Source organism: Homo sapiens, chromosome 1 (assembly GCF_000001405.40).
Source record: "Homo sapiens chromosome 1, GRCh38.p14 Primary Assembly".
Lineage (NCBI taxonomy): Eukaryota > Metazoa > Chordata > Mammalia > Primates > Hominidae > Homo > Homo sapiens.
This window is the reverse complement of record NC_000001.11, coordinates 90,505,887-90,519,514: the sequence shown is the minus strand read 5'-3', so window position 1 is coordinate 90,519,514 and position 13,628 is coordinate 90,505,887. Positions and strand designations below refer to the sequence as shown.

The following is a 13,628-nucleotide window of genomic DNA, read 5'->3' as shown; positions in this document are numbered from 1 at the left end:
TCTGTCTTATTTTTCTGCTGTAGCTAAGGATTTATCAGTTTGGTTGATTTTTTTCAAATAACGAACTTTTGGTTTTATTATTTCTTATTCTCTTTCCTATTTTATTGATTTCTGTTTTGATAATTAATATTTCCTTTTCTGTGTGTTATTTCATTTATTGTAGGTTGCTATTTCTTTTCAGCCTGAAAGACTTTCTTTAGTATTTCATATGGGATAGGTCTGTTAGCAATAACTTACATCAGTTATTTTACCTTGAAGTATCTTTATTTTGAAGAATAGCTTTATTGGATATAAAGATCTTTGTTGAATTTTTTTTCTTTCAGGAATTTGAATATGTCTTTCTAATGGCTCCTGACCTACATTATTTCTAATGATGTATGTTATTAATGAAGTTGTTGATGCTGTGTACATAAGGTGTTTTTCTTTTACTGCACTGCTTTAAAGATTTTTCCTTTGTCTTTTGATGATTTTCAGTAATTCGAATATAATGTTTCTAGGTGTGGATCTCTTTGTATTTTTTTCTTTTCGAAACTTGTTGAGTTTCTTAAGTATGTAAATTAATGATTTTCTTCAAATTTGAGAAGTTTTCAGCCATTATTTCTTCACATACTTTTCTGTCCTTTTTTTATCTTTCTAGAATTCCCATTACACATATATTAATAAGCTTGATATTGTTTCACAGATCTCTGAAACTCTGCTCATTTTTCTTTAAGCTTTTGAACAGAAAAGATAGGTTCCTTGGACTGGATAGTTTCTATTGATCTATCTTTGAGTTTACTGATTTTTCTTCTTACATTTCAAATATGCTGCTGAGCTTAATGAATTTTTCATTTCAGCTATTGTACTTTTCAACTCTAGAATTTTTATTTGGTTCTCTTTTATAGTTTCTACTTCTCTGTTGAGATTTCCTATTTGTTGAGTCATTGTTATGTTTTACTTTAATTCTTTTAACACAGATTCTTTAAGTTCTTTCAATGTATTTATTATAGCTGCTTTGAAGGTTTTATCAGAATCATTTTTTGCCATTTATTTGCCATTTATTAATAGTAAACTGCAGCCTATTTTCTCTTTTTGTTCTAAACATAATTTTAAGAGTATTTTGTTAACATTATCATTTTCAGGCTTCTCTCTATTTAAGCATTAAACATTTTAATACCTTTTTACTAAAAAGATCTACTTTTGTCTTTGTCCTTGTCTATGTGTCCTCTCCCCCTATCTTTTAAAAATCTGATGTCACCAAAAATTTGATCTCTTTCCTGTGCAGCTCTTATAGCCTGTATTCACAAGGATTCCTTATGTTGTAAGAAACAGACAACTCAACTCAGACTTATTTAAACAATAAGGCAAACTCATTAGCTTATGTAAGTAACATGTATTGAGGTAAAGCTTCAGGTACAGCTTAAAACTAGGACTTATTTCCTTTCTCTCTATATCTTGGCTCTATTTATTTAATGTTATTTCTAAGTCTCAAGAAAGAGACATATTTCCCCTCATAGTTGGAATATGATTTCCAGTAAATCCTGGTTCTACATTCTTCCCTATTCATGTGGCTATTTATACAGAGGAAGGAAAAAGTCTTTTCTGATTACTTTGCAGAAGAATAAAGAGGAGTTTCTTAGGCAAAAATCTTAGAAAACAACTTTTAAAGTCTTATTTCTTCTACTTGAGCTAATGCTCACCTGTAAACCAATCTGTGTGACTGGGGAACTATGAAGGGCTGACCATGGCATTTGGGAATCTTAATTCACTGATCTATGAATGAAGGAAGAGATGAATTCCACAATTGAAAACAAAGGTATATTGGTCAGAGCTCTCCATAGGAACAGACCCAATTTTTTATATATATATATATATAAAACATATATGAGTTTATTAGGGAGAATTGGCTCACATGATTACAAAGCGAAGTCCCACGTTAGGCTGTCTGCAAGCTGGGGAAACAGAGAAGCCAGTACCATGGTTCAGTCCAAGTCTGAAAGCCTCAAAACCAGGGAAGCCCAACAGTGTGGCCCTCGGTCTGAGGCTGAAGGCCCCAGAGCCCCTGGGATGCTGCTCGTGCAAGTCCCAGAGTCCAAAGGTTGAAGAACCTGGAATCTGATGTCCAAGGACAGCTAAGTGTCTAGCATGGTACCAAAAGTGAGAGAGCAAGCAAACTCAGCAAGCAAGCTACTTATCCACCTTCTTTCACTTGCATTATTCTAGCTGTGCTAGCAGCTAGTTGGATGGTGCCCACCTACAGTGAGGGTGGGTCTTCATCTCCCAGTTCACTGACTCCAATGTCAGTCTTCTCTGGAAGCACACTCACAGACACACCCAGGAACAATGCTTCATCAGCCATCTAGGCATCCCTCAATCAAGTCAAGTTGACACCTAATATTAACCTTCACAAAATTTATTTTTGACATAAGAAGGATAGAATGGATACTGAAGAGGAAACCAGCAAATATTCCTTGTGACCTTCTTCCCTTGTTATTTTTCATTAGGATGAAGGGTTCACTTTGAAAATCTTGCCAACTCTCTTCTATTATCTTCTTTTTATAGTCTCCAAATTACCTGCTCTGGGGATCAAGCAATGGAATTGTTTATTTTCTCTGGGACTTACATTTACCCCCTTAAAACATGGAGTATTTTTGTTGTTTTGTCCAACCGTCCTCCCTTTCTCTATCATGGGCCCTAGTTACGCTTCACCCAGTTCTTGTAGATTACAATTCAATTCTTGTGGATTACAATTACAACAGATGGACTGTTTAACTTGTCACTAGCTCTGTGTTCTGAGAAAGGAAGTTGTCAACAAGGTGAGCTAAGAACTTACAGAATCATTGCTTTTCAATTGGGAGGACTTTCAGCAAATGTCCTTATATAGTCTCCCATCACTATTTTTTCTTACCTCTTTGTTCGTTTTATCATCCTCAAAATACAATACTCCCTGTTCTTTCTGTGTTGCATCTAGTTTATTGTGTTTTCCAACTTGAAGCCATTGTCTGTGACAGTTCTCAGAACTTCTCAAGAATAGGGCTAGGGTTCCCAGAGATGGGTTGCACCCTGTGGTCAAGTAGGAGTGTGTGTGTGTTGTGTGTGTGTGTGTGTGTGTATGTGTGTGTGTGTGTCTGCACACCTCTTTAAAAACTGGAGTAGTTATCAGTCTGTCAGTCCATATTTGGAGGTGAGTTGCTTAGTCAGTATCTAAGAGGTTGCAGGAAGAATAGATAGATAGGTTGAAGAAAAAGCCTGAAGGACTGAAAGACAGGCTGAAAGGTGGTCTTAAGGACAAAGGAAGAGAATGAACCAATGGTTGGAAATAGTAGGACACAGATGAGGTATGGATAGATGGATGTCAGTTAAGCTCAGAAATCGGTTATGATACTGAGTAATTCATTGAGGGTCATTCAGTCAACAAATGCTTATTGATAATTTAATATAATAGTTACTATTGATTGAGCTCATGCTTTGTATCATGTACTTTACTGAGCACTTTATTGATTTAATCCCCACAATGATCTTATTATCCCCTCTTTACAAAAAGAAAACAGAGGCATGGAGATCTCAAATAGACATTTTTCCAGATCTCAGCTTGAAAGCCAGGGTTGAAGCATAGGGCTTCTAACTGTAGAGCACATTCTCCTAGTTACTGCATTGTACCACGTGCTAGACTTTGAGCTGTAGTGGTGAACATGGCAGACATAGCCTTTATCCTCAGAGAGACAGAGTCCATTCTTTGTATTCTTCTGTACAGCTAAGTGCATAGCACTAGGCTGGGGATAGATGTTCTAACAAGGAGAGCAGTCATCTCACAGCTCTATAATTTTTTTTTTGCAGAATTGCAAAAATCCGTTAAGAAGAAATCCTACATCTTTAAAGAATTGATATGTGACTTATTTCCGTGGGGTTACATATTGACATGAAATTTACAAGATGGTTAAATTGCTCTTGCTAATCAGGAGAAAAAAGGGCTTTTGAGTAAAAGACAACTTAGGAAAAAGCCTTCCTTCCTCCAAAATTCAGACAGGAATTAAAAACCACTACAATAAGAGAAGGGGAAAAGTAAATGGAAAGAACTTGGCTATGCCAGATAGTATTATTAATTTGGATAGGAAAACTTTTCCAGTGCTTTTTAAAACAATGTAAGCCATAAGTTGAATTTAACAAGCCTTCTATTAGACTTGAATGCCTGCATTATGATAATTATAAGCACACCTTTCACCAGTATAATATTTTTCCTCTTAGGAGCTGTATGGCAAAAAGAAGTTTTGTGAAATTTTATTGCATTGTTATATAAATTTGAAACTGCATTATAGATTTGTTTCTCCTACTGTGAATTAAATACACTTTATGAAAGGAAGTGATGCTTTTGATCTTTCAGGGGATCTCGGCTATTAGACAATTTCAAGAGTTTTAGAGATAGACTGAAAGGACAGAATAGAACAGGACAAATGTAAGCCCCGTGAGGGAAAGGCTCTTTCCATTTTGTTCATTGCAGTGTCTACAGTGCCTTAGGCAGTGCCTGGCCTATAAATAAATACATGGTTTATGGCAAATAATAAACACAGATGTGAATTAAGGACTCTGAATATACAAAGGAAAGAGCAATTTACTCAGCCTAGAATGCTAGGAGAAGGCGACCAAAGGAGGTGGTGGGAACTTTTTACCCTGGACTTGATTTGGACAAATCTTTATGAGGTAGAGACATTTAGGCAGATCAAGCATCTGAAAAGGCATATTGCATTATTAGGCTAGGGCACCCTCCTATATGTTCCCACAGTTCTCAGAGCATTTTTCTGCCATCACACATATGGCACTGCATTTCTCTTTACTTGCGTAGGGGAATGGCTCACTTGTGGTGCCCTGGTGACCTTGCATATTTCCACATGGGCTAAGTAGGCAAGGCGTGGTCATGACCTGACCTGAGTCTGGTACAGTGCCCTGAGATATCTCCTGGAGTAATGGGAGATGAACCTGGAAAGAAGCCACCACGAGACAGTTTATCATATCTCGTGGGAGGTTGCTATGAGGGGCTTCCTCATTCATCTCCCTGGTTGTGACTGAGAGCAGGACTTTCTGCTTCATTTCTTGCCACCTCCCTTTAGAGGACAGCTGCAGGCTTCTGTGTGTGTCTACTAAACTACTTGCCTGTATGTTAGAGTTGGCTCCTTCATGACAGAGTAACACACCACTCATGCCATCTGCTTCCTGGCTCACCAGCTTAGTGCTGTCCCGTGGGTCAGCTGCTTTCGGGGTTAGGGGAGGGGGCGCTGACACCATGCTGATAGTGCTTTGGCTGTCTGGCTAAGTAGCACAGTGTCTGAATCTCTAAGCTTGTTGCCACCTTACCACAGAAATCTAGGAAAATGAGCAAGCCAACCTAGCTGAGTAGTCATTGCTGCTACGCAGTCACTGTTTGCCCAATGCAATGTGTCTGTCACTAGATTACAAGCTCATCTATATTCTTATCACCTAGCAAAAGGTTTTGCGCAATTGCCTGATAAGGGTTTTTTTTTTTCTTGACAGAATGGATGAACTAATAAATGATTAAGAAGTAAGTACACCAGCAAGTTTCTTGTGCCTGGACTAAAGATGGAGTATAGGATGAGTAGTAGAAGATGTAACAACTGGGACTGGATTACAGATGGTCTTTGTATTAGTCTATTCTCACACTGCTATAAAGAAATACCTGAGACTGGGTCATTTATAAAGAAAAGAGATTTAATTGGCTCATGATCCTGCATGCTGTACAGGAAGCATGATGCTGTTGTCTGCTTGGCTTCTGGGGAGGCCTCAGGAAACTTAACAATCATGGCGGAAGGCGAAGGGGGCACAGGCATGTCACGTGGCCAGAGCAGGAGCAAAAGAGGAGGAGGAGGTGCTACACGTTAAACATCCACATCTCCCAAGACTCACTCACTATCGTGAGGATAGTACCAAGGGGATGGTGCTAAGCCATTTGTGAGAAATCTGCCCCGTGATCAAATCACCTTCTACCAGGCCCCACCTCCAACACTGGAGATTACAATTCCACATGAGATTTGGGTGGGGACACAGATTCAAACCATATCGGTCCTGTGGGCAAGGCAGTGCCCTGAAGACTTTAAAGTAAGAGAAGAACATGACTCCGTTGGTGCACAGTGCATCTTGCTGGATGCTGGGTGCTTGGAGAACTGCTGGTTCCGGGTGGGCGCAGGCAAAGTCCATTATTTATAATTTTATATTATTTGTAGCACCTAGCATGGTGTTAGACCCATAGTAGATGTTTAATAAATATTTAATGAATGACTGCTTTACCTGCTTAATTATGTAAAAGTCTTATCTGAAAATATCAAGATTTAAAAAAACCCACAAATATAAAATTTAACTATAGATGTCACATCTCACAACGACTTTCATCTTTGATTTTATCTTCTCAAATAACATTTATAACATACCTAATCTGTTGCCAAACATATCATAGGCAATTCAGATATAAATGAAATAAAAAGGATCCCTTTGCTTTAGAAGCATGGCATTTAGTTAGAGAAACAAGACATATCCTTAGGTAAAACTCCTAAATGACAAAACAGAACAAATCTTACTACATACAAAATGATCTCTAAGGGGAAAGATCATTGTGAGATGGTTTCTTAGGAATAAATTTGCAAAAAGTTGGAATTTTATGATATATTTATTAAATTAAGTTTAGCATTTAATACAGATTTTCCATTTGATTTTAAAGTAAAACAGTCTCAGGCGAGGGAAACAAGTGAGCAAACGTTCACAGAAGGTAAAAAGAGGTAAAGTGTCAGAGGCCAAATTTTATATTCAGAAAAACTGACTCATCGTAGTGAGAACTATTTGAGAGCTATGCATTTAAAACCTACCACTAAAAAATAGGTGTATATTGTCTTTAGTGATTCATAGTACATTTACAATCACATGTCAGTCACTGAGGGCAGCTGCAATTTGCATCTCAAAAACACAGAATGTCCTTAAAGGAAAAAATCATTGAAACACATCATTCAAGAGCCTCCTGGAAGGGAATTTTTAATTCACTCATTGGGTTTTAAGTAAATGGAAGCTTACTCAATGAACATTTAAAACTAATAGTTTTCTAGTAATCGTAATGTATTGTTAATAATCTCAGAATACTTTATCTCACTCACATTCTATGGATCAAAAGTTGGTAAATGTGTACCCTAGCCTTGGAAAAATGGTTTAGTAAGAACAATTGCATTTGCTTTAGGGTGTGTTCAAGTGGTAGCCATGCAAGTTAGTTCACGTCTTATAATATATTTCCTTATCTTTATAATGGACTACTGATAATATAAACCTGTTTTCCTCAGTTTTTCCAAAGCCCAATACACAATTTTTTTCTCTACTTTATTCAGTGCCTTCACTCCAAATAATTAGATTGTTGTTAGTCATTTGAAGCAGAAATGTGTTTTATTCTTATGTGTTGTACACTGTATAGGTACAAACTGATAAATACCTTTGCTGACCAATTAACCAAAAACCCTCCTCTCTTTTGCCCTTTTTCAGTGGAGGCTACAGCTGTACACAGGTAACTGTTCTTCTGGACATTGTTTGTTCTCTTTGTAGAAAGTAGATAATTTCAAAACAAGGTGGTTACTGTTACTGAAATTGTAAATTATGTAGGGGCTGTCTGTTTTATGTCTGATGTATTTGTTAATATTTAGAATTCCTATTTCTGAAAAATATGTCAAGCTTCTTATTACAATACAGAATTGTATTGTAATGTATATATTACATTATGTATACATAAATATATGTATACATATATACAAATGTATAAATTTATAATGTATATAAAAATGTATACAGAACATTTTTAATCAAAATAAACTAAAAACTAGTGGATGGTAGCAGTGAGCTTGATATTAGTAATTCGGTAGGACATTTGGATTGAAATGTTCTAGTTTCTTAACATTCAAGGAGAGATTCCAAATCTGCTTATCTTTTATTTTATTTTATTTTATTTTTTTTTTTTTGAGACAGAGTCTCACTCTGTCGCCCAGGCTGGAGTGCCGTGGCGCAATCTTGGCTCACTGCAAGCTCTGCTTCCCAGGTTCATGCCATTCTTCTGTCTCAGCCTCCCGAGTAGCTGGGACTACAGGCACCTGCCACCATGCCCGGCTGATTTTTTGTATTTTTAGTAGAGATGGGGTTTCACCGTGTTAGCCAGGATGGTTTCGATCTCCTGACTTCATGATCCGCCCACCTTGGCCTCCCAAAGTGCTGAGATTATAGGCGTGAGCCACCACACCCGGCCCCAAATCTGCTTATTTTCTGATCAGCACAAGTAAACAGAAATATAGGACATTGTAAAATTGGTCAGTGGTACATTTAAATCTTGAGCTAGCTGGAGGGTCTGAGCTGGAAGAAGCAGGAATTTTCTAGTCACTCTTTTCTATTTTATTGTGACCACTCACCCTGTGGAAACGGATACTGGCCTGAAGGTTGCACATGCCATGCCGTTTTTACACAGAGTGAGTGTTGCTTCAGGGTCCTATTTGACTAAGTTCTTAATTTTCTTACATCTAGATCAGAATTGTAAAAAATGAGCTTCGTGCTTGCTAGAGTGGACTAGATGAGATATATCTTATTGTTATTTGGAAGGCTCCAAAAAGAGATATCGAAAAATGCTTAAAATTGGATTCATTGCTCTAGAAATAAAGCCAAGCTTCTGAAGATTATTCTCAGCGACTGCAGCTCTGGCAGCAGAGCAGCAAAAGGGAAAGGTAATTAGTCTTGGAACTTTGCTTTTTACACTTGGCTTTAAGTGAGGACACCAGCAGCAGATAGCAATATTTAATTGTGTTGAAATAAAGTTTGGAATCATGTTAATTTTCAATTGGAATCCAAGAAATGTTCTTCTTATGATTTCTGTTTACAGGAAGAAAAATTTTACTGGTATTCAGCCCAAATATAAAAGTAGCTATAAATGCCAGGTTACTGGGTATTAAAGGAAGTAGGCATGAAGTTGGGGTGTATATTAATCCGTTCTCAGGCTGCTAATAAAGACATACCAGAGACTGAGTGATTTATAAAGGAAACAGGTTTAATTGACTTACAGTTCAGCATGGCTGGGAAGGCCTCACAATCATGGCAGAAGGCAAAGGAAGAGCAAGACACGACTTTGGTGGCAGTTAAGTCAGCATGTGCAGGGAAACTCCCCTTTATAAAACCATCAGATCTCATGAGACTCATTCACTGTCATGAGAACAGCGTGGGAAAAACCTGCCCCCATGATTCAATTACCTTCCACTGGGCCCTTACCATGACATGTAGGGATTATGACAGTCACAATTCAAAATGAGATTTGGGTGGGGGCACAGCCAAACCATATCAGGGGAGATTTTAATTTGGACATATCAAATATTTGTCCAAGTTAGAATCATCCATTTCTGCCTGCTAGTAACTTATGTCCTTTTGAACAAAGAACAACTTAAGGCAATTGAGCTGTAAACAATGGTGCTTTTTATTGATTATACCCTAAATGATCTAAATTATGGGTGGTATGAGGAGAGAGCTGACTAGTAAAAAATAAACAAATAAATAAATAAAAAGAAGAAAAGCCATCTTTCCTTTAATTGTTCAGTTTAATTTAGTTGACCTTAATGGGAAAAGTGGAACTTCTACAGGTTGTTAAAGTTATCCTACTTCCTCTTTTCCCCAAATTGACTTATGACATTTAAACAATAGTTCAGACACCTCAGTCCATGAATTTAAGTGAAGTGTCTCCAAGAGGGTAGATTGCAATTGTGTTTTTAAGAGTCTGAGTAAGCCTAAGAAAGTCTGATTCAAATGACAAAGAAACCTCAGTGGGAGACACAGATGAGTTGAATGATCTGGTTTTGAACTTTCTAGGAGTTAACCTTACAATGATAATCTTGTGACTTTCGTTGTTTGTTGGTTGGTTTAGTGATACAGAAATGTAATTCATTCAACCACAATTTCAGTAGAATTTCATTAAGTCCTTAGAAATGTTCTCATTTGTGGTTCTGAGGACATGTTTCTAGGCACAAAGATAACATTTGAACTTTAGAAATGGTTGAAGATACATTGAGTATAGAATCTGAAAATCAACAGGAGAGGCTGATGTAATTTGACCTGGACTCTGGAAGGTTGAGGCTAGTTTAATATGTAAACTTTTAGCCTTGGGCACTTTTAGTAATACAGCTAGGTCTCCAGGTTTCTCTTCTTGGGTCCTAGGTTTTCTACATTCTATTTACCGTCTTTTGCTTTCCAGAGCACAGTTATTCAGGACTTAGTTCATTTCAGTGATGACTTTAGGTCACCTCATCTAAGAGGGTCATTTCTCTGCCCAGCAGTGTATTAGGCAATGTGGGAGTACAAAGATGAATAAAATCTAGTATTTAAAATATCCCTAAAGAAATTTATAGTGTGACAGAGGAGGAAGAAAATATATGTAACAAATCTGTTTAATACAAACTAGAAAACAAAGTAGAGGAAGTGAATTGTGTGCTATACCTTGGCAAAGATAAGGTGTTATGGCTGAGATAACAGAAGGAACAAAGGTATAGAGACTGATTATGTCTGAGGAACAGAGTAAATAGTATAGCACCCTTCTTACCGATTATACACAATGTAGTTCTCTGCCTTACCTGCTTTAGCACAGTTAAACATACCCAGTCATACTTGTTATATCATAGGATAGTACTCTGTCTTACTATGGCAAATGACAGTACCTTAGCTTACCCACTGTATTAAAGTGCAGTCCCCTATCTTACTCCCTGCATCACAGTGCAGTCCCCTATCTTCCCCACTGCATCACAGTGCAGTCCCCTACCTTACCCTCTGCAACACTATACAATCCTTTATCTTACCCCCTGCATCACAGTGCAGTCTCCTATGTTACCCACTGTATCACAATGCAGTCCCCTATCTTACCCCAGTGCATCACAGTGCAGTCCACTACCTTACCCTCTGCATCACAGTGCAGTCTTCTGTCTTTCTCAGTACATCACAGTGCAGTCCCCTATCTTATCCACTGTATTAGAGTGTAGTCCTTTATCTTACCTTCTGCATCACAATGTAGTCCCCCTTACCTGCTGCCTCATAGCGCAGTCCCCTATCTTACCTACTGTATCATAGTGCAATTCCCTAATCTTACCTCCTGCATCATAGTGCCATCCCCTATCTTACCTACTGTATCACAGTACAGTTCCCTCTTACTTACTGCATCACAGTGCAGTCCCTTACGTTACTCAGTGCACCCCAGTACAGAAAAAGTGTAGCTGGGTGCTATGGCACATGCCTGTAGTTCCAGCGACTCAGGAGCCTGAGGTATAAGGATTGCTTGAACCCAAAAGTTCCAGACCAGCCTGGGCAACATATAAAGACTCTGTCTCAAAAAAAGTGTAAATCAAATGAAACACCACATGTTCTCATTTATAAGTGGAGCTGAACAATGAGAACACATGGACCCAGGGAAGGGAACAACACACACTGGGGCCTGTTGGGGAGTGAGGGAGGGAGAGCATCAGGATAAATAGCTAATGCATCTGAGGCTTAATACCTAGGTGATGGGTTGATAGGTGCAGCAAACCACCATGGCACATGTTTACCTATGTAACAAACCTGCACATCCTGCACATGTACCCAAGAACTTCAAATCAAATCAAATCAAATATTTAAAAAGTGTAAATCAGAAAACTTCTATTATTTCTATGATTATTAAATGAACATGAATCATGCCTTTCTTATTAAAAATACATTTGCCCAGTAAATTATTTTAGAGCACAAACATAAATCTTAAACCCGTCACTGTAAAAATATATAACACATATCCCAGATAGATGAAAGTCTCTAGAAGATTATGTGACATGTTTTCTTGGACTGCCTCTATTACTGTATGGAATTTACACCTTGTAGTGGCCACAACATACAAATATGCATATGTATGTTTTTCCCCATTACCTTTGCCATGTAAAACTTTTGTCTTCTCTACAGAAATGTACACGGAGTGATTGATGTTCTCGTCTATCCATCTCGCCATATAGTTTTTACAATGGTTTCTTAGTCGTTAATATATTTCTGTGGAATATGTGTAAATAGACATGAGCAAACTGTCTAAAAGTTATTCAGCTACTCAGTGAACCATGTAATCTGTTGGTTCAGAGACAACAGATAATAGAGTGAGATATTTGCGTTACCACCCACACACTCTATGTAGCATCTATGCTCCAAAAGTCAATTTATGTTCTGTTGGGGCATGTCTCATCACACTATATTATCACATTGGGGATAGGAAATTTGGATAATGACTATCTGATTCAGAAAAAAAGAGACTATTTAGTGAATTGAATATCTTTGAGGTGGGAATTTTGAATTAGAATTTGGTTCCAGCCTTGGTTAATTTGATACTCTTTCTGTGTTTCATCACTGTTTTTCTCTCTTTTAACAATGCAAGTTAGAAATAACCTTGTTAATTAACATCTATTTTTAGGTTGATGGCATGACACAGCCAAGACAGAGTGGGAACATTCCAGGACTACCATAGCACAAGCAATAAAACTCTTTTCTAAGGGAAAGGTAGATGTTGGAAATAAAAATGGAAGGTATCCCTTGTAGGTGTACTTAGTGGATATACCTATTCTGAATAGTCAGAATTAATAAAACTGTTAACTAAGAGACTTAGTTAGTAGGCAGTCCTCTTACTCAACAAAAGTAGCTGATGTCTGGGTGATAGCAAGGCACTTCCCCTTCTCAGAAACTTTCACTGGCTCTCTCCTATCCCCACAATTAGATCCAATTCCCTCTATACTATGTTTCAAGTTTACATTTATATCTTTAACTCCAGCATCCTGTCCTCCCATCAGATTAAGCTATCCTAACTCTTCTGTGTGTATGCTTTTGTATATGTATGTGTATATATATATATATATAATTTAAAAAATCTTCTCTATGGCTTTGATAATGCTGTTTCCCCATCATGTCTATATGTCTCATTCCCATCTACCTTGAAGGGCCAGCTCATTTCTTTCTTGTTGATGGAGCACTTGTTGACCTCTTCTGCCTAGAAGCGATTTCATAGCACTTCATCTGCCCTCTCCTAAGGCAATTAACACCTTCCTTCTTTATTTTGATTATGGATACACATATTTTGTTTCTCTTTCTAAACTGAAATCTCCTATTTATGGAATTTATGAGTGGTTAGCTAGATCAATGAAAGGATGAGATAAGGAGAAATTCTCAAATTAAAGGGAGGAGATTTGTCTAGGTAACAGTAGATTTGAACTTTTGGAATAACCTGGAATGTATCCAGTCTTCTCTCAAGAACCACCCCTAGACTCAGTAGACTTAAATAAGTATAGATATAGGCATATGTTTTGCTTATTTTTAAAATTTTAGTAGACAATTACAGGTTTTCTTGTATGGGAACAATTAAGTATATGGGCTCAATAGATTGGTTGACTAAGTGGATTGAACTGGAGCAGAACATGTCAGATTGGATGGGAGAAGCCTGGTGGGTAGCCTATGAGGTCATGGTCTGTGGTTAGAGAGCAGATGCTTTGCTGGAATTGCTTTGCAGCATGGTCTGTGCTTGTCTTTCTCTTCTCTGAATTTCTATTTTAGTTATAGCAATATGACACAGTGTAGCACTTATTTGGCTTATG

At 37.6% G+C, this 13,628-nt stretch overlaps 1 long non-coding RNA gene across 3 annotated transcripts in view; it reads left to right on the top strand.

Annotated features, from left to right (window-relative positions):
* The window catches only part of LINC02787 (long intergenic non-protein coding RNA 2787), a 35,944-nt gene extending 28,416 nt beyond the window's left edge, over window positions 1-7,528 (top strand). For 2 of the 3 annotated variants that reach the window (XR_947593.1, XR_947592.1), the window contains one exon: window positions 5,506-5,699. This is a non-coding gene — a long non-coding RNA (long intergenic non-protein coding RNA 2787). Of the gene's footprint in view, window positions 1-5,505; window positions 5,700-7,506 lie in introns of those variants that run through there. The other variant, XR_001737796.1, reaches the window with a different exon arrangement.
* Window positions 7,529-13,628: the final 6,100 nt, after the last annotated feature.